General features: G+C 42.7%; 1 protein-coding gene across 10 annotated transcripts in view, besides 2 other annotated features; it reads right to left on the bottom strand.

The window, feature by feature from the left end:
- FARP2 (FERM, ARH/RhoGEF and pleckstrin domain protein 2) overlaps window positions 1-19,981 on the bottom strand; it is a 138,557-nt gene that overhangs the window by 100,498 nt on the left and 18,078 nt on the right. The window contains exon 1 of one of the 10 annotated variants that reach the window (XM_011512236.2): window positions 7,032-7,056. The exons of the other annotated variants lie outside the window; for them this stretch is intronic. The gene's annotated coding sequence lies outside the window, so the exon portion shown is untranslated. Of the gene's footprint in view, window positions 1-7,031; window positions 7,057-19,981 lie in introns of those variants that run through there. 10 annotated transcript variants of the gene reach the window in all.
- Window positions 1,133-1,192: a silencer, noted in NCBI's record as "silent region_12538". NCBI's record gives its function as "represses an Ori minimal core promoter by ATAC-STARR-seq in GM12878 lymphoblastoid cells {active_cell/tissue: GM12878}" and the evidence as "EXISTENCE:reporter gene assay evidence [ECO:0000049][PMID:35858748]".
- Window positions 7,436-7,730: an enhancer, noted in NCBI's record as "tiled region #5168; K562 Activating DNase matched - State 8:EnhW". NCBI's record gives its function as "activates a minimal TATA promoter and a strong SV40 promoter by Sharpr-MPRA in K562 cells {active_cell/tissue: K562}" and the evidence as "EXISTENCE:reporter gene assay evidence [ECO:0000049][PMID:27701403]".

Raw genomic sequence — 19,981 nt, 5'->3', positions numbered from 1 at the left:
GGTTTCACCGTGTTAGCCAGGATGGTCTCAATCTCCTGACCTCGTGATCAGCCTGCCTCGGCCTCCCAAAGTGCTGGGATTACAGGCGTGAGCCAAAGCACCTGGCCCACATGTCCACTTTTATCCTTTCAAATCTTCTCGACTTAAAACATACCTTCTGGTCCTAAAAATACAGAAATTCACTATCAGGTGGACTACAATAATCACTGCATGTTCCCAAAGTACCAAATGATCAGATGAAACAAGATTCTCCCTGCACTAGGTCGGAAGGGCCTCACAGCCAGTTAGAGCACTGGCATCATCCAGATGCTCAGAATGGAAGAAAACCCCGCCATCACACTGTGCTTCCTGCTGAACTCAACATTGACTCAAATCAGAACTGTTTCAATACTAGGCTGGAGGAGAAACAGTATTAAGAACATAGTATAAAAAATACAAGTTAAAAAGCAAAACTTTTTGTTCAGTGTTTCCAGTTTTCTAGTTGGTCATGGTGTTAAGGTCCTTTTCCAGGCTTAGGTATAAACAATATTGTTAAAAACTTACATTTACAAAACTATTAAAGGTTGTGTCTAGATGAAAATGGGCGACAAAGGCCTGGCTAACAAAGTACTTCTTTATTCTTTGTCTTAAGCTCTGTGGGAAAATTCTTCTTGAAACAGCTTTTGTCCTTTAACTTGTTTCATGTGCTCATTTACAGTTCATTTGCCAAATTATAACTCCTCTATCTATCTAGATGGCCCCTCCTATTATATAATTCATATCTGTACTGTAAGTTTCATTACTTAAGATTTTTATTGCCTAATTAGATCAATCCCAAATTTCCTTTTATAATATTATACTGTACAATGAAAATAATCTTGAGCGCTCAAAAGGAAACTGTAGCTACATTCTTTGAAAGGTCACCAACATTTTTGATAGGCATTTCACTCTCATTTTGGCACATTTTCAAATCTTGGGTTCTCACATATTCCTAAAATACTGTACACCAAACTTCTACTCCAAATTGCACTAAGAACCATAAGGAGGCCGGGTGCAGTGGCTCACGTCTTTCATCCCAGCACTTTGGGAGACCGAGGCGGGTGGATCACCTGAGCTCAGGAGTTTGAGACCAGCCTTACCAACAAGGTGAAACCCTGTCTCTACTAAAAATACAAAAATTAGCCGGGTGTGGTGGCAGGTGCCTGTAGTCCCAGCTACTCAGAAGGCTGAGACAGGAGAATTGCTTGAACCCAGGAGGCAGAGGTTGCAATGAGCTGAGATGCCACCACTGCACTCCAGCCTGGGCAATGGAGTGAGATTCCATCTCAAAAAAGAGAGAGAAAAAAAAGAACCATCAGGAGTAGCGTTAAATCTCAGCAAAAAGATGTTAACTGCTACTTCTGCTTTTTTTTTTTCTTTTTTGAGATGGAGTCTCGCTCTATTGCCCAGGCTGGAGTGTAGTGGTGCCATCTCGGCTCACTGCAACTTCTGCCTCCCGGGTTCAAGTGATTCTCCTGCCTCAGCCTCCTAAGTAGTTGGGATTACAGGCATACATCACCACACCCAGATAATAGGTTTTGGATTTTTAGCAGAGATAGGGCTTCACTATGTTGGCTGGGCTGGCCTCAAACTCCTAACCTCAGGTAATCCATCCGCCTCAGCCTCCCAAAGTGCTGCAATTAGAAGTATGAGCCAACACATCCAGACTGCTACTTCTGCTTCTAAGGGAAGGGTTCTGTATCATAGAGGGACAAATGAATCCCCAGGCACTTCATCTTTCTAGACTGAAGAGACCAACTGGCAGATAAATCATCTCTACCATGAGATGTGGGCAAAAACTGAGCTTATGTATCAATGGATTCATTCATACCCTAGCTCTTCTACAATCGTTTCTCTTAAACTACTCAAGGAAACAGTACAACATGAAATCCCCCAATTTGAACCTGTTAATACTGGTGACTCAATTACTTATTTATTGCCTTTCCATTCCAAACCCACCCTTCTTTACCCTGCTTTGTGACACTGGAGTAGCACCCTGTAGACATTCCTTTTACACAAGCTGGCTTTGCCAGTAGAGGGCTCTGGGGAGATACAACAAGAAGGGCCTTCTCTCCCCATTTCTGGGCTTTTGGCTTTCTTGCTAGCTGTGTGCAGGAGAGCCAGCGGCTCACACCATCCTATGAGTTTCACTGGCATTCCGGTCCCACTGGTGGGCAGTTTCCTCCCTGCCAGCCGGTTCCTATGGCACCTTAGTGAACTTCACCATCCAATGCCAATGGGTCTGCACCTCAGCCTTGCGAGAGAAGGCCTCTTTCAACTTTGCTGCTTCTTTGGATATTCCTTCCCTCAGCCCTGGTGTGGCAGCTGCTCACCATATCTCCTGGTCCTATATTCTTTAGCATCTCCCTCCCGTCTTAGTAGTTAATCCTCTGTTGCTGGTTAATCATTATTTCTATTAAATTTCCCTGTTCAAATTACTGGTACAGTTTCTGTCTCCTGACTGGCCCTTGAACGATTCAATGGTATTCTCTGGAAAACGACTGTACAGCTTTAACATCTTGAGCTTGGGAAAAAGGGTTCTTCCCCAAGAGTGGGGAGAAAAAAAGCCAAATCCACAGTGGTCCTCCTAACTACTGCAATGTAGTGGTAGCAGAAGCTCTGCACGACCAGATGAGGTTGAAAACTGGAAGAAGAGTCATTAAATGGAGGTTCACTTGGCGTCTATTCTGCTAGCTGCCTACTTGAATTCCCAAATTCATCAGGAGAGAAAATTGTGCCTTCTAGTGCTCTCAGAAGTGGGGGAAGGTGGGCCCGAGAATACAAAACCTGCGATGAGCTTCCTCACAGAGACACCAGTGGAAATGTGGAGGGGATTGCCATCTGAGCACAAAAGCAGGTGATGTAGAACACTCGCCCATTACTGCTTTATGTCTATTAAAGTCTTCCACCTGGGCAAGGGCACATCAAGAAGGACACACCCCAAGGTGAAGGAGGCCCCGCTTCACTACAACCCCATCTTCCCAGCACATTTGCAGACAGTGTATGCCAAACACCAGAAGCCAAAGAAGCAACCTGCTACTAACTGGCTTGTTTTAGGAGTTGGGCACAAAACATATAATTATTTTCTTCTTTACTGTCTTTTACTTAGCATCTGAGAAAAAGCAAAACAGAAGAGTAGCTTAGTTCAGCAGTAAGATCTCTCAAAGCAAGCTCTTAAGCAATTCCTTTCTTTCTTCTTCATCAACCAAAAGAGTTCCAGCAGCTTGCCTGTCCTTACTTGTGCGTACTTGTGAAAACTCACAAAAAGGAAACGTGTCTGTCAGCGTCCCCACCCACTCACTATGGTCAGGACGCAGCTCACTCCCACAGCCCTGTGGCCAGGTGGCTGTCATTTTCAGAAGGGAAGCCTGCCTGGGAAATCAAATAGCAGCCTTTAAAAAAGGCCAATAAGACCATTATTGATCAACCTGAACCTCATTTGCAAAAATACACAGACACTAAGAATGGTTAGACATTTAAACCAAACTCTTGAACTACAGAGACCTACCTGAAAAGCAGAGAAATTAGTCACCGAAGAATGAGTAAACCTGGTATACCAAAGAAAACATAATCTAAAAAAATAAGATCCTATGTACAACTATTGCCTTTGTATAAAAATTAATAAAAATGGGAAAAAATTAAAATTAAAGAAAAAAATAAGATCCCCAAAAAGGTCAGTGTTAGAGGTAAAGGTATTCATAAAATGAGAGGAGACTGGAAAAAGAATCCAACTAAATAATGAAAAGGGGATATTACAAAGATGACTCCAGAAACCGAACCTCAACAGGAGGCCCAAACAACAGATGGACAAGACTTGAATTGGAATCAGTGGTGTGGAAAAATAAACAGATGCATTCTTCTAGAGATAAAAATGATGAAAGAAAATCCAAATTTAGGAATCACAAATGTGTCTACGAGGAACCTAGGAGAGGGGCTGTAGCAGACACTGGGGTATGATAATCCAGAAGATGCCTCGTGACTCCTGTCCTGAAGACGGCAGTGCCAGCTGTCATCTCCTTAGTCATTTGCTGGACTCGTTCAAAATCAAAAAGGTAAATAAGAAACTCTATTTTCAGCAAAAGTAGGAACTCTCAAATCCTGCATCACAAAACTGTGGGGAGAAGCACCACTAGCAATAGGGACAGAGCAAGGGGTTGGGCATCTGTAGTGGGGGCACAAGCACTATGCCACGGGGCCAACTTCAGCAGAAGCCCTAAGAACACTTATCAAAGGTGAAGGGCACAGTGAGGTGCAAAACTTCAGTCCCTTGCTTGTAAGAGCAAGGATGGGAAGAGACCTGGGTAGCAGGGTCCAAGTGTGGGCCCAGTTTGGCTTAGAAGAGCAGAGGTGATAGACCAAAGAAGAAATCTCAAGCAAGTCACATCCAAACCCACATACCAAGCTCGAGTCATGGCATGAACTTTACATTTCAATGAGTCTATGACCAGCCAATCCCCAAGAGAACCTCCTTAAAATAGCCAACCTGTGAATAACTTATCTGCTTCAAAGATGGGTGATCAAAATAGAATAAGCGCTGCAAATATTAAAAGGTATTCAAGATAAAAAAGAAACAGATATTAAAAACTATTTAATAAAGCAACTGCCTCTATAATACAAGAGCACAAAACTACAGTATCAGAGCTCCAGAAAGAGAAGGAAAGACAACTGTTATTCAAAGAAAGTGGATCACCTGGGTGAGAATTCTTGAGTTCCTGCGTAACCTTGAGTAAGATTTTAAATTGGGTTGTTTTACAGAGTTGTAAGATGTCTTAGTTGGTTCAGGCTGCTATAATAAATACACCATAGACTGGGCAGTTTCAACAACAAACATTTATTTCTCATAGTTCTGGAGGCTGGAAGTCTGCAGTCAAGCTGGCAGTAGATAAAGTTTCTGGTGATGTATAAGGCTTGGTTAACAGATGGCCATTTTCTTCTATTCACAAGTGGAGTAGCACAGAGAGAGAGGAAGAAAATTCCCTTATGTCTCTTCTTCTTTTTTTCTTTTTAAGTCCGAAGAGTTTTTGTTTGTTTGATTGTTTGTTTTTTTGAGACGAAGTCTTGCTCTGTCATCCAGGCTGGAGGGCAGTGGCACACTTGGCTCACTGCAGCCTCTGCCTCCCGGGTTCAAGCAATTCTCCTGCCTCAGCCTCCCAAGTAGTTGGAATTATAGGCACCCACCACAATGCCCAGCTGATTTTTGTACTTTTAGTAGAGATGAGGCTTTACCATGTTGGCCAGGCTGGTTTCTAACTCTTGACCTCAAGTGATCCGCCCACCTTGGCATCCCAAAGGGCTGGGATTACAGGCATGAGCCACCTCACCCCGCCTCATGTCTATTCTTATAAGGGCACTAATCCCACTCGTGAGGGCTCCACCCTCATGGCCTAATCACCCCAAAGGTCCTATCTCCAAATACCACCATATTGGTGGTAAGGCTTCAATACAAAACTTTTGGGAGAACACAAACACCTAGTCCATAGCATTAGAGATATTTTTTTGGGACAGGATCTCACTCTGTTACCCAGGCTGGAGTGCAGTGGCATGATCACGGCTCACTGCAGCCTTGATCTCCTGGGCTTAAGCAATCCTCCCACCTCTGCCTCCCAAGTAACTAGGACTCTAGGCAAGTGACACCACACCTGGCTAATTTTTTTTGTAGTGACGGGATCTTGCTATGTTGCCCAGGCTATAAGAGTTATTTTAAAAAGTATATTCTAGATGTAAGTTCCTTATCAGATATATCTTTTGCAAATATTTTCTCTCATTATTTTTACTTTCTTGATAGCATCTTTATTTGTTCTTTTATCACTTTGGAATTTGGTGTCATATCTACTCCTAGGTTTTCTTCTAAGAGTTTTACAGTCTCAACTCTGACATTTACATTAATGATCCATTTTAAATTAGTTTTTGAGTATGATGTGAAGTAGGGGTCCAAATTCATTCTTTGCATGTGGATATTCACTTGCCTAGGCACCATCTGTGGAAGACTATTAGTTCTCCCATTGATTGTCTTGACATTCTTTTTGAAAATATCAATTAACCATAAATGTAAGGGCTTATTTGTGGATTCTCAAGTCTATTTCATTGATCTATAAGTCTATCCTTATGCCATACCACATTGCCTTGATTATTGAAGCTTTACAATAAGTTTTGCTATGGAAAAGTGTGAGTCCTCCAACTTTTTTCTTTTCTGAGATTGTTTTTGGCTATTTTAGGTTTTTGGCTATCCCTTGCATTTCTATATACATTGTAAGATCTGCTGTCAATTTCTACTAAAAAGCTAGCTGAGATTTTGATGGAAATCATATTGAATCTGTAGAGCAGTTTGAGAGTATTGCCATCTTAACAATATTAAGTATTCTGATCCATGAACATTGTCTTTCAACTTATTTAGATGATCTTTGATTTTTTTCAATACTTTTATGATTTTCTGTGTACAAGTTTTAAGGTTCTTTTGTTAAATTGAATCCAAAGTATTTTATTATTTTTAATGCTACTGTAAATAAAACAATTTTCTTTTTTTTTTTTTTTTTTTGAGACAGTCTCACACTGTCACCCAGGCTGGAGTGCAGTGGTGCGAGCTCGGCTCACTGCAAGCTCCGCCTCCCGGGTTCACGCCATTCTCTTGCCTCAGCCTCCTGAGTACCTGGGACTACAGGCACCCACCACCACGCCTGGCTAATTTTTTGTATTTTTAGTAGAGACGGGGTTTCACCGTGTTAGCCAGGATGGTCTCGATCTCCTGACCTCGTGATCAGCCCACCTCAGCCTCCCAAAGTGCTGGGATTACAGGCATGAGCCACTGCGTCTGGCCAATAAAACAATTTTCTTAATTTTATTTTGGAATTGTTCATTGCTAGTGCATAGAAATGCAATTGATCTTGGTATATTAATCTTGTATCCTGCAACCTTCCTGAAATCGTTTATTAGTTCTAATAGCTTTTTTTAAAAGAGAGACAGGTATGTTAAACTTTTCTATATACAACGTAGTGTCATGTGTAAACAGTTTTTACCTCCTTTCCAGTGTGGACGGCCTCCCTCTCTTCCTTTCTTTTCTCCTCCCTCCTTTTCTTTCTTCCCAGCTGCTCTGGCTGGAGCCTCTAGTATCGGGTACGTCTTTCAAAAACATCTCTGTCCCTCCGTTTCCCAAGTATAAAAGAGAAGACTAGTTCTAACAGAGAGGACCGAATAAAACAACGCAGACAAGGGGTTTTAGAAGAGCAACTAGAATGTGGCGAACGCTCAACATGAGCCATTAGGCTGTATATAAGAAACATATTTCAAACACATTAAATGATTCAGAAAGGCTGAAAATAAAAGAAGGACATGGGTATCCCAAGTATATTCCAAACAAACAAAAAAGCAAGGGGACCTTGGTTACATGGTTGAATATAAGGTTGAATTTAGGCCAAAAAGGTACAAGTGAGACAATAAAAGGACACTTATTAGAGGAAAAAGTGTTATTGAAACCATATCCCAAACAGTTAAAGAAACCAGTGACTAACAGAAAAGCTTGAACTTACAGGATGGCAGATAAGAAAAACAGCAGCTTGCTGAAACTCCCTCTGTTTGTAAGATAACAAATCTGGGTGAAATTGGTGGGAACCAAGGTGGCCAGCTGGAGCCTGCACAGAAGGAGCTTGCTAACAGCACAGCTGGAATCTCTACCACGTTCCATACTCCCCCTGAATCTGCACATGCAATGCACGAAGACGCGTGAAGAGACAGCTGCACATGCCCAGGGGGCTTTCCAAACCTCCCCTTTCCCTTTGACAATCGCTAACCAATCTTTAAACGCTTCCCCCAAAATCTCTCCCTTAAATATACTGTCTTAAGGACAGAATGGGGAGACAGATCTGAGCCGGCCTCCTGTCTCCTTGTTGGTTGACTGGCAATAAAGCTTTTCTTTTCTCAAAATCCACTGCTGAGCGGGGAGCAATGACTCGCGCCTGTAATCCCAGCTACTCAAGAGAATCAGGCCGGAGGATCACTTGGGGCCAGGTTCACTTGAGCTCAGGCTCAAGCTAGCCTGAGCAACAACAGCGGGACCCCATCTCTAAAATTAAAAAATATATATTTTTTAATTGGCTGGGTGTGGTGGGGCACTTGGAAGGCTGAGATGGGCAGATCACTTGAGCCTTGGAGTTCAAGGATGCAGTGAGCTATGATCATGCTACTGCACTCAAGCCTGGGTTACAGAGCAAGACCCCATCTCTAAAAAAATCAAATCAAAGCAAGCTGGTGCCATATGCACATCAGGCAGCCAGCCCCTTTGCTCAGTAACCTTGTATCCATTAAGATCTAACAGTTATGTATATCTTTGGACAAATAACCATAGTGTTGACATTCATAAAATAAAAATTACAGGAGGTAAAGAGAGAAATACATATAAGCACATTCACAATGGGAAGCTAATTCTTCTCAGTACTTATGTAATCAAAAGGACAGAAGTAGTGATATAGATGGGGTGTGTGTATATAAAAGTGCATAAGTAAGTGCAAAAAATGTCTAGAAGAGTTAAATGGATGATATGACGTAAATGTTGAAGACGTTAATTCTGGGTGTGGGCAAATAGGTAATTAAAATTTTTTTTTCTCTTTTTTTTTGAGACAAGGTCTGGCTCTGTCACCCAGGCTGGAGTGCAGTGGTGCAATCACGGCTCACTGCAACTTCCACCACTAGGGCTCAGGTGATCCTCCCACCTTAGCCTCCTGAGTAGCTGGGACTACAGGCGTGAGCCACCATGCCTGGCTAATTTTTGTATTTTTAGTAGAGACAGTTTCGCTATGTTGCCCAGAATTGTCTCGAGCTCCTGAGCTCAAATGATCCACTTGCCTTGGCCTCCAAAAGTGCCGGGATTATAGGTATGAGCCACTGTGCCCATCCTACTCATTTATATTGACTGAATTTTTTGTTGGATGTATAAATTTTATAATTTAAGAAATATATTAAAAAATTTTCTAAGGTAGAAAACATACAATATACAACAAAATACTATTATTTTATAAACTACTTGACTTGAATGATTTAAAAAGCAGCATCAATTTCTTTACTGAGGAAAATTAACAGCAATAAAAGAGTTTTAGTTTTTATAACTTACTTTCTAGCAACCATTTCCAAAACAAGTTTGCCCTCCTCTAGTGTTCTCAGTTTTCTCCAAATTTGATTCCTCTAAATAAGTAAAATTTGAAGATTCATTACGAAATCCTGTGTTTTACTAAGAGCTGATGAAAGACTCGCAAGATGGTTGTTTTTGCTTATGTTAAGCTAACAAGTCTAATTTTATATGATGTTAGGACTTATGTACAATTTACAATTTCATTTCTTAATACAATTAATATTCATAATTAAATTTAGGACATGTTTCTATTATTTTCTATGTTTTTAAGAAATTTACAATTGATGTAAATTAAAGCCAGAAGCAAACAATATAAAGCTGAATAACCTTGATTTAAGATGTTTACTTTAAAAGAGCTCACTGTGTATTTTTAGCATGTATGTTCCAACATTTTTCCTAGGATAGTAATGTCTAGAGCCTTTAAGCCATGTTTGAGTTGTCTTAATTGAAAATTGCTTTAATAAAAAAGAGGTTTTTCTTCTGCTACAAAGATCTGACTTTACCAGTTTCAAATATCAATACATGCAAAAAGCATATGGATGCATATTAGCAAGGACCAAACAAATCTAAAAAGTGTAATTATGAGAAAACATCATCAATATCTAAAACCAGAAGATTAAGAAGGAATGTATTTTTCATAATCAGGAATATTAGATTTATTTCAAAGAAATATATTTTAGATTGATCCATGAACTTATCAGTTGCATCTCCAGGATGCAACGGATTCTCATCACTAGCTTTTCAGAAGTTTATTAGTTCCAGGCAAGTGTTTAAGATTGTGGATCAAGGAGGAAAGAATATCTTTCTGACTTTCCTAGAAACCAGAAAAAGCCTTTAAGTAGGACTGGGATCCCCTCTACCACTGTGGCAAAAAGCTGCTGCTATATAAAGTGCAAAACTGTACATGTAAAGCATCATTCATGTGCATAGAACATTCCAGAGCATTCCAATAACAACAGTTGGAAGTGCCAACAGATACTTTTCATGTTTCTCTTTAATGACCAGTCTAAATTTCTCTAAGAATAAAAGTTCAGAAGTCGAAGACTGATGACAGTTTAGAAAAGCTGTCTTTGGGTGACTGCAATGTCACCCAAAGGCTTCCACTAGGTCATGGTGAATGCCAAGTGTCAGAATATCTCTGACACTTGGCATTCACCATGACCCAGCGGGATAACAGTGGTGGCTTCACAGAAGGGCAATGTTAGCACCTTCTGGAAGGTCACAGCAATGGCCGCCTTGCATCTGGTGCACTGAAAAGAGCTCACATTCCTTCAGGACATAGCAACAACGCTTCTTCCCACCAAGCCCAGTGCCTGAGAACCCTCTCCTCAGATGCCTAATGAGCCTCTTCGACTCCACATGGCCCCAAACCAAAGCAGCTCTTCCCATGGGCTCCCTAGTGCAGGACATGGGAGCTCAGGCCCAGTCCTTGCACCATGTTGGCTCCTGGGTTTCTGATCCTCCACATCAGCACCAGCAAATTCTGCAGGCTCCACCTTCAAAATCTCTCCAGGATGCAACTGGTTCTCACTACCTCCCTTGCTCCCTTCTGCCCAAGCCACATCCTGGGTCACCGCAAATGTCACCCAAAGGCTCCCCTCTTGTCCTGACCTGGTTCTGGACCAAGTCATCACGTCCTGGGTGGAGTTCCATTTCCCTCCATGTGAGCAGAAGCCCTCCTAGATGCCTCTCTGCTCCACTCCCACCACATGGTCTCTTGCTAATCCCCAAACGTGCCAGATGGGGGTCACCTAATGGCACCTGCATGTGCTGTTCCATCCACCTGAACACTGTTCTCAAGAACAGAGATCTGTGCCGGCCCCTCCCACCACAGGAACAGGGCTGTGGGAGTGTGGGATGTGGATCTCCATCTGAGCGCAGCTCCATGTCTCCTGCTCCCTCCGTGCTTTATTTCTCTCCTGGGCACTAAGCACTTCGCAGTATACCTTGTCCACTGTTGAGCTCCCCACTGCCGAACAAGCGCAAGGAGGCAGAGCTCCTGTCTGCTACGTTCACTTTGGCACTCCCAGCTCCGACGGCAGAGGGTGGTGCACACCGAGGCTCAGCAAATACCTGCCAAACACGTGCTGGCCTAAGGCTGTTGGGGTGAGCACAGCCCAAACCCACATCCCATCTGTGTGGCTTTCCGTAATTTTTCTATCCTTTCCTTCACCATAAGTAATCACTTTCTGCGAAGTCTCCAGCACTCCTCGATTCTTATTTCCTTTTTTATTTTACTTCCAACACAATGTATTCAGTATCTTCCCAACTCTTAAGTTATTTTTAAACTTCAAATATGATGTAGACCAAAAACACCAAAAACTGCACAAAACAAAAAATAAAACAGACAAGTCTGATGAAAATGTGAATAAAAATCCTAACTTTTGCCTATTAAACAGGAGATGTTACTAAAAATTGTAATATGAAATGTCCATAAAGGTGAGAGAAATGAACACCTGCATATACCACTGGTAGGGGCATGAGGTGCTTCTGCTGTTTCTGGAATACAATTTCACAACATGTATCAAAGACCTCAAAACTGTACATACACTTTGATGAAGAACCTCCACTTCTATACGTTTACCCCAAGGAGATAATAAAAAATGTGTATAAAGATTTTGTATAGACTGGGTGTGGTGGCTCACACCTGTAATCCTAGCACTTTGGGAGGCTAAGGCTGGTATACGGCTTGAGCCCAGGAGTTCAAGACTAGCCTAGGCAACATGGGGAAACCCCATCTCTCCAAAAAATGCAAAATTAGCCGGGCATGGTGGCACACATCTGTAGTCCCAGCTACTTGGGAGGCTGAGGTGTGAGGATCGCTTGAGCCCAGGAGGCGGAGGTTGGATTGCACCACCGCACTCCAGCCTGGGCAACAGAATGAGACCCTGCCTCAAAAAAAAAAAAAAAAAAAATAGATTTTGTACAGAGAAACTGAAAATAGAACACTATATAGCCATTAAAAACTTTTAAAAGACCATATAAAAAAAGTTCAGAATATAATGTTTAATTTTTGAAAAGACTACAAAAATGCACATAGTTCAGTCCCAATTTTGTTTAATATAGGTGAACATATAAAAGGCCAGAAGGGTATTCAGAAAAATGTGAATGGTTGTTCTCTCTGGGTAGTTATCTTTGGCTGTGGGCCACTGTGAGTTCCTGTTTTTCTGCAGCGTACAAGTATTAATGGTATAATGAAAACCGAATTACATTTTGGATGAATTCCCTCTAAAAAAAGAAGCATGAGGAACCTTGAGAGATGGCGTTGATTGGTCTTCTAGCTGCAGCATGTAACCCAATGGGCCTTTGCTCGACATGCAGGAAAGGACTTGGGGGGCTTCACCAGGGGCAGCTTCATCCCCAGAAAGCTGAGATGCTGCAGTGCAAGTGTTAAACCACTGTGAACACATAATCTGTGAAATAATCATATAACTTGAAAAATATACATGTAACACTTGGTAAGGTAAAAAAGTAGAATGCACTCTCTCAAAGAACAGAGATCACTGTAATTCTACCATCAGCTCTCTGGAGATTCATGACTACTTTCTATACCTAAAAAGGAACAATAATGTAGAATTAGCTTCCTTACGTGAGGCCGATATGACTGAAAAATGCCCCCAGAAGTGAAGTGCCAGCAGAACCCTGAAAAGCACTGCACCTTCCAGCTGTGGAGAAGAGGGCTCTGAGGTCTGTTGTGTTCAAGGATGAACAGAAGGGGAGAAATGAGGGTGAGAAAGAAATGGCATCAGCAAAAGGTGCCTGATGGATGAGGCAGGCTGAGGGGAGCTCAGGTGGGAAGTCCACGCTCCAGAGCCTGTGAACTCTTCTCAAAGTCAGCGGTCCTCAATCCTGCCTAGAGCACCTTGAGGAATTTCTCCACAATACAACAACAAGCAGCAGGCCGGGGTACAGCTGAGTCTAAAAGGTTTTGGGCACTAGAGGGGAGTGGCACCCCAGGACAAAGTGGCTGGCGGTGGCAATCAGAACAGGCCAGGAGCGGCACTACTTATAGCCCACAACAGGCCAGGTACAGGGCCCACAGCAGAGTGGGGTTTCCAGAGGAGGGAAACGGACACAGAGAACAAAGAGACTGGCAGAACACCAGCGGCACGAGGCAATCCCCTAGGATGGGCCCATGTTGGGAAAGAGAATGTAATCTCCAGCCCTGGAAGAGACTCATGTCCACATTCCATCAGGGGGGTAAGGGCTGAGATTTAAAACCTGGTCCTAACCTGCCCCAGGTGGAAGCCAGCTACAGAGTGGGGATGGGCACACTGGTCATGGAGGCCCAGAAGAACCTGCTCAGTGGAGGCAGGGCATGTTCAACACGCACTACCCACCCACTCCTCCTCCTGATTCTGACCTCTTTGCAGGGAGTTGGGCCAAGAATGTAGACATTTGAAGTTTCAGGGGAGGGATGAGAAGAACTGAAGGGTAGTGGCAATTCAGAGGCAGTCAAGTAAAATATAGTATGGGTTGAGCATCCCATATAATATAATCCCATATAATATAATATATTATTATTATAATATAATAATCTGAAATCTGAAATGCTCCAAAATTCAAAAAATTTTAGTGCCAACATGATGTTCAAAGGAAATGCTCATGGAACAATTCAGGTTTTGGATTTTCAGATTCGGGATGCTTGACTAATAAGCATAATGCAAATATTCCAAAATCTGAAAAAAATCTGAAACTCTTCTGATCCTAAGCATGTTAGATAAGGGATACTCAACCTGTACAAGCTCAGCTTTTCTAGCCTCCCACGAATCAAATAACAACAGAATCAAATTCTCTCCTGATCAAAAATGGGGGAGTTACATGGGCACGAGTAGATCAAGGGGTTTCTGAGTTGGCGCTCACAGCTCACATGGGTCAGCCACTGCCTGTGTCACCTGATATGTGATCAACATTGGGTGCTAGAACTCTCAGGTGCTCAACAAATGGTGTGCGAGTCCAGGTGACCCAGTCAGCAAGTTTCATTCCCACAACCCTCTGCTGCGATCCTGAAATAACTTGGTTATTCTCTGCTATACAACCACTGTCATGGCGTCTTCACTGGTACAGGGATCAATAGGATGACATTTCCCTATTCTTTTCCATTTGCTGGCCTAACTTCTTCATCAGTCGCCCTTGCTGTGTAATCTAACACAGACTGTGACTTACCAACCTTGCTTGTGTATGTGTGTTAGGGCTTGGTGGGGGAGCTGGCTCTGGGAGTGCCAACATCACCACTGGAAAACTAAGAATAAAAATGTCCACATCTCTGCTGTGCACCACCCTACCACATTCTTGAGCATCAGGGTCAAAGGAATAGATCAACTTTCCAAGACAAAATAACAGGTTTTAAAAGCTAGGGCAGAGTCACATAATAGCTTGGTATCCCAGAAACACATAAGAGCTTTTGTATAAAACCTCTATTATCCCCAAATTTCAGAAGCTGAGTTACTTTTTCTTCTGAGGTCAGACCAAAATAAGTTCTAAGGCAGTTTATTTGCTATATTTAGGATGTTCGTGTGGGAGCAATGACAAACATCTGGCTACAATACTTTCTGGAATTTTGACTATTTCTTCCTGCCAGAATGAAAACATTAAGTTTTTACTGGAATAGCAAGTTAAAGTCTTCTAGCACAGAACTTCGTGACTGAGAATTTGTCTTCCTACTTGTCACTATTTAACCTAAAGCCTCTGCAATTCTAAAGAAAAAAAGAAAGAAAAGGAAAGTCCACCCTAACAACTGTGAGTATGTTAAAGAAAAGGGGAACGTGAGAAAGTAGATGAACAATAATGAAGAAAACCCTCATGCTCATTAGATGCAATCCCCACTTGTCAGCAAAGGCAAAGGACATTCGCTGCCAGGGGCAAGGCCTCACACCCTTAAACTGCATCCCAGGTTGTTCTTTTAATCATTACATATCTCTTCTCCATAATACTAACTTTCAGATAATAGAAAACCTTTAAATCGCATTAACTCCTAAACCTAAGAGTTAATTATGAATTAATGAGAGTATAATTGTTCTAGACATCTTACCCTCTAAAGATCTGGGAAGACTTTCTAGAACGGGGTCTCAGTTATGCACCTCAACTCTCCTTCCACTGCATCCAGCAATGGAGTTAGACACTTTTCACACCTGGCATGGTTTGGAGCTGAAAGTATTTCTACCCGATGACTTAGCACACAAGACAAGGCAAGCTGACACACAACTTTCAGATGGTTTTAAAACAATTATGGCTCAAAAACAAGATTCTTTAGAGCTGAGGCCAGATTTCTATGTTCAAAACCACAGAATTTGTTTAATCAACTAAAAACAAATCAAGACTTTCCTAGATAAAAAAACTAGTCACTGACCTTTGATTAGCTAAATATCCCATTAATAAATGCCAAAAGTGGCTTAAAATAAAACATAATTGAAGTCAACATCCACAAATAGGCCTCCACCCTAAATACATCATACAGATTTCTCTCCTGATCAAAAATCAGTTTACGAGTTGGCTTCTGGCTAGGTGTGGTAGCTCACACCTATAATCCCAGCACTTTGGGAGGCTGAGGCAGGAGGATTGCTAGAGACCAAGAGTTTGAGACAAATGGGTAATGTGGGGAGACCCCATCTCTACAAAAATTTAACAAATTAGCCAGCATGGTGGTACACGCCTGTAGTTCCAGCTACTCAAGAGGCTGAGGCAGGACGATCACCTGAACCCGGGGAGGTCAAGGCTGCAGTGAGTTTTGACTATGCCACTGCACTCCAGTCTGGGTGACAGAGTGAGATCCTGACTCAAAAAAAAAAAAATAGGCCAGGCATGGTGGCTGGCACCTGTAATCCCAAAACTTTGGGAGGCCGAGGGGGGGAGGCGGATCACTTAAGGTCAGGAGTTCAAAACCAGCCTGGCCAACATGATGAAACCCCGTCTCTACTAAAAATACAAAAAAAAAAAATATTAGCCGGGCATGGTGGTGGGCGCCTGTAATCCCAACTACTCAGTAGGCTGAGGCAGGAGAATTGTTTGAGCCCAGGAGGCAGAGGTTGCAGTGAGCTGAAATCATGCCATTGCACTCCAGCCTGAGCGACAGAGTGAAATTCTGCCTCAAAAAAAAAATAATAAAATAAAAATAAAAATATCATCTCAAACCACAATGAGATACTACTACACACCTACTAGGATGGCTAGAATAAAAAAGTCAGAAAAAAATAAGTGTTGGCAAATATGTGGAGAAATTGGAACATATAACATTGCTGGCAGGAATGCAAAATGGCACAGCTACTTTGGAAAACAGTCTGGCAGTTCCTTTAATGATTAGACCTAGATTTCCCATGTGACCCAGCAATTCTACTCCTAGGTATTCTGTCAGTCCTCTGTATCCACAGGTTTGGCATCCACAGATTTGATAAATCCACCTGATGATCAAAAAGGATAAAAACAACCCCACCAAAATGATAAAAAGTAATAGTACAATGAGAGATAATAGAAAAAAAAAGTCAATACAGTATAACAAGTATTCACATAGTGTTTCCATTGTATGAGGTATTATAAGTAATCTAGAGATGAGTTAAAGTACACCAGATGGCCAGGCGCAGTGGCTCACGCCTGTAATCCCAGCACTATGGGAGGCCAAGGCAGGTGGATCACCTGAGGTCAGGAGATCGAGACCATCCTGGCTAACAAGGTGAAACCCCGTCTCTACTAAAAATACAAAAAATTAGCCAGGCGCGGTGGCGGGCGCCTATAGTCCCAGCTACTCGGGAGGCTGAGGCAGGAGAATGGCGTGAACCCAGGAAGCGGAGCTTGCAGTGAGCCGAGATTGCGCCACTGCAGTCCGCAGTCCGGCCTGGGCGACAGAGCGAGACTCTGTCTCAAAAAAAAAAAAAAAAAAAGAAACCAACAAAACATCAAAATTTCCCCTATGTTAAAAAGGCTCCTGAAATGTAAACTTCCAATATCAACTTGGGGAATCTGCACAGCACCACACAATGTCAGTGTTTTCTGGCCATGAGAATACAGAAGAAGCTAGTGCTTTTCAAGTTTAATATCAGCACATCTCCCTGGAAGAACACTACTGTTTAAGACTTAAGTGAAATGATAATCTAGTAAACTGACAAATAAGATAGGTGCATATGGCCAGAAAACCCCAAAACAAAACAAAATTGAATTCCTGAGGTTAGAAAACACTGCTATAGAGGGAAAAATTCAAAACATTCTTAAAGTCTGTTAACCAAATCTAACTTTCGATTTCATTCATTTAACACGTTTACTCAGCAAGGCCCTGTTCCAAACACCAGAGGCACAGAAGTAGATACAATACAGCCTTTCCTTCCCAGAACTTGCATTTCAGGAGCAGGGAGACAGCAAGCAGGCACTAGGATGTGGTGTCTTCACCAAGACAGACCTGCCCAGCCAGGGGTCTCACTGCTCAGTGCACCCGACACCCTGTAGCCGAATGTCTGCCTCAGTCTACAGGTCCAACAGCAAAAACCACCTGACCACAGTCTGTCTCTTGGTTCCAATGTAAAGTCAAGAGGCAGAAAGACAGAATACGAATGAGACAAGTGGACAAACGACAGCAAGACAGTGATGGTGGGCTCGGGTCAGGCAACCAGCCTTGATCCAAAGACAACAAGGAAGGGGGGCGGGACAAGCCTGCCTCTGTGGGGCTATGCAGGGTGGACTTCCCCAGGAGGGGGACTCTGCCCACTCAGGGCAGGCCCTACACACCAGCCCACTGACACCAAACCTTAGAGTGGCACAGACAATTGCACTTCCAGAGGCTGTATCCTGGTACACTGGCAATATTTGTCAGGGTAGATTACAAAAAATGCTCACCAATTCCTGGCCGCTCTCTCATCAAGGTGCCTCTACTTCTCCACCCCTCGAATCAGAGCTAGCCTGGTAGCTTGCTTTGATTAATAAAATGTGGCAGAAGTGACAATGGACAAACTCCAAGCCAAGAGCCCAAAGGACACTGCAGTGCCCACTTCTGGACTGAGAACGTTTCTGTGACCACAAAAATGAGGCCAAGTGGGCTGGAGGGAGAATGAGATTCTGCACATGAGGTTCCAACCAGGGTGCCAAATGTGTGGGTAAGGCAATCCCAGGTTGCCCAACCCTCCAAGTCAGCCTAGTAGAGCCTCCAAACCAACAAACAGACCTGTGATTTAAGCTCCATGTTTGGGATGGTTTGTTACTTAACAAAGCTAACTGATGCAGTTGTGGAGGACAGGGTACTTGGAAGCAGAATACAACCAACTTACAATATATTGAATTTTAGCTCTCCCTAAAGGTGTGTATCAGCAGGCAACACAATGTAAAAAATACCCCAAGCTGGCACAGTGGCTCACACCTGTAGTCCTAGCTACTTGGGAGGCTGAGGCAGGAGGATCACTTGAGTCCAAGAGTTAGAGGCTGGCCTGGGGAACATAGCAAGATCCTGTCTCTTAAAAAAAAAAAGTACCCCATCCAACCCAGGATATTCAGAATATGCAAGACCATTTTCTTTTGCTTCAGATAAAAGTTCTTTAATTTCTGGTAACTCTGCCAGATATCTCAAATACCAAACATGACGGTTATATTTAACTGAAACCATAATCTCAATTTATTAAAACTGACAAGCTCTAAATATTGTAAAACCTTCACAAAATGGCATCTCTTATTTTCTTAGGTATAAAATGACTCATACTCAGTAAAGGTGAATTTCTTAGAGAAGAATTTACATCTTATTTATGACTCAACAACAAATGTGTGCTTTTTTCTTCTGGGTCCTAGTTTTAGTTGATAAAGTCCAGTAGGCAGAACAAAAAAAAAAGACACTCTAAAAGTAAACCTATTAGTACAATTATTTTTCTTTCACTTTTTTTCTCTTAAATTTTGCACCTATTACAAGCCTAGACAATGGTAAATGTGTTTATTGGAGGATGACTACATGGTGGAAATTCCTCCAAACACTTGATTGAAAAGATTTGGGGCTGGGCGCGGTGGCTCACACCTGTAATTCCAGCACTTTGGGAGGCCGAAGCGGGCGGATCACGAGGTCAGGGGATCGAGACCATACTGGCTAACATGGTGAAACTCCGTCTCTACCAAAAACACAAAAAAAGAAATAAGCTGGGCATGGTGGCGGGCGCCTGTAGTCCCAGCTACTCGGGAGGCTGAGGCAGGAGAATGGTGTGAACCCGGGAGGCAGAGCTTGCAGTGAGCCGAGATCATGCCGTGGCACTCCAGCCTGGGTGACAGGGCAAGACTCCGCCTCAAAAAAGAAAAAGATTTGGGAGCCTAATTAAGTGTCCAGACTTTAACCTATTTCCTACAGGAAAGTCACCCAAGAGCTGGTGAAAGGGCAGCCGACTGCTACTCTTCAGGGTTCAAAGGTTGCCCAGCTTCAGACCTCCTTCTCTGCAACAGAAGTGATGTGGGAAGTTGGACAGACAGGTCCTACCAGTTTCAGTTACCATGGCCCTGATGAAATTATCTTTCACTTCCTCCTCAGATAAGCACTTCAGAAAAGCACCCAGGTTCCCTGAGTTCTTACACCCTCCATACTTGCCTTCAAACAACACTCAAACCCAGAGACCACCTTGCTCAGAGCTTCACTGCCCCACCCACCAAGCTCCCCTCCTCTGTGTTCCCTCTTCCCTCCTTCCCACCCCATGCAATGCATTCCGCAATAAGGTCCACAGCTCAATAATAGTTTTGTTTTCTGTGTGGCATCTTGACTCCTCAAAAGAAATTCCCAAGTGTAAATAAACCTCCTGCTAGTTTAAATTCATTCTCTTGTCCTTACTTTTGTGCCATTAAGAGCAAGAAAAGCTTCTAAAGATGTTACTTGAAAGCCAGAAAAAATTAGAAAAAAGA

The sequence above is a fragment of the Homo sapiens genome, chromosome 2 (assembly GCF_000001405.40).
Source record: "Homo sapiens chromosome 2, GRCh38.p14 Primary Assembly".
In the NCBI taxonomy this organism is placed as follows: domain Eukaryota; kingdom Metazoa; phylum Chordata; class Mammalia; order Primates; family Hominidae; genus Homo; species Homo sapiens.
This window is presented reverse-complemented; position numbering and strand designations above follow the sequence as displayed.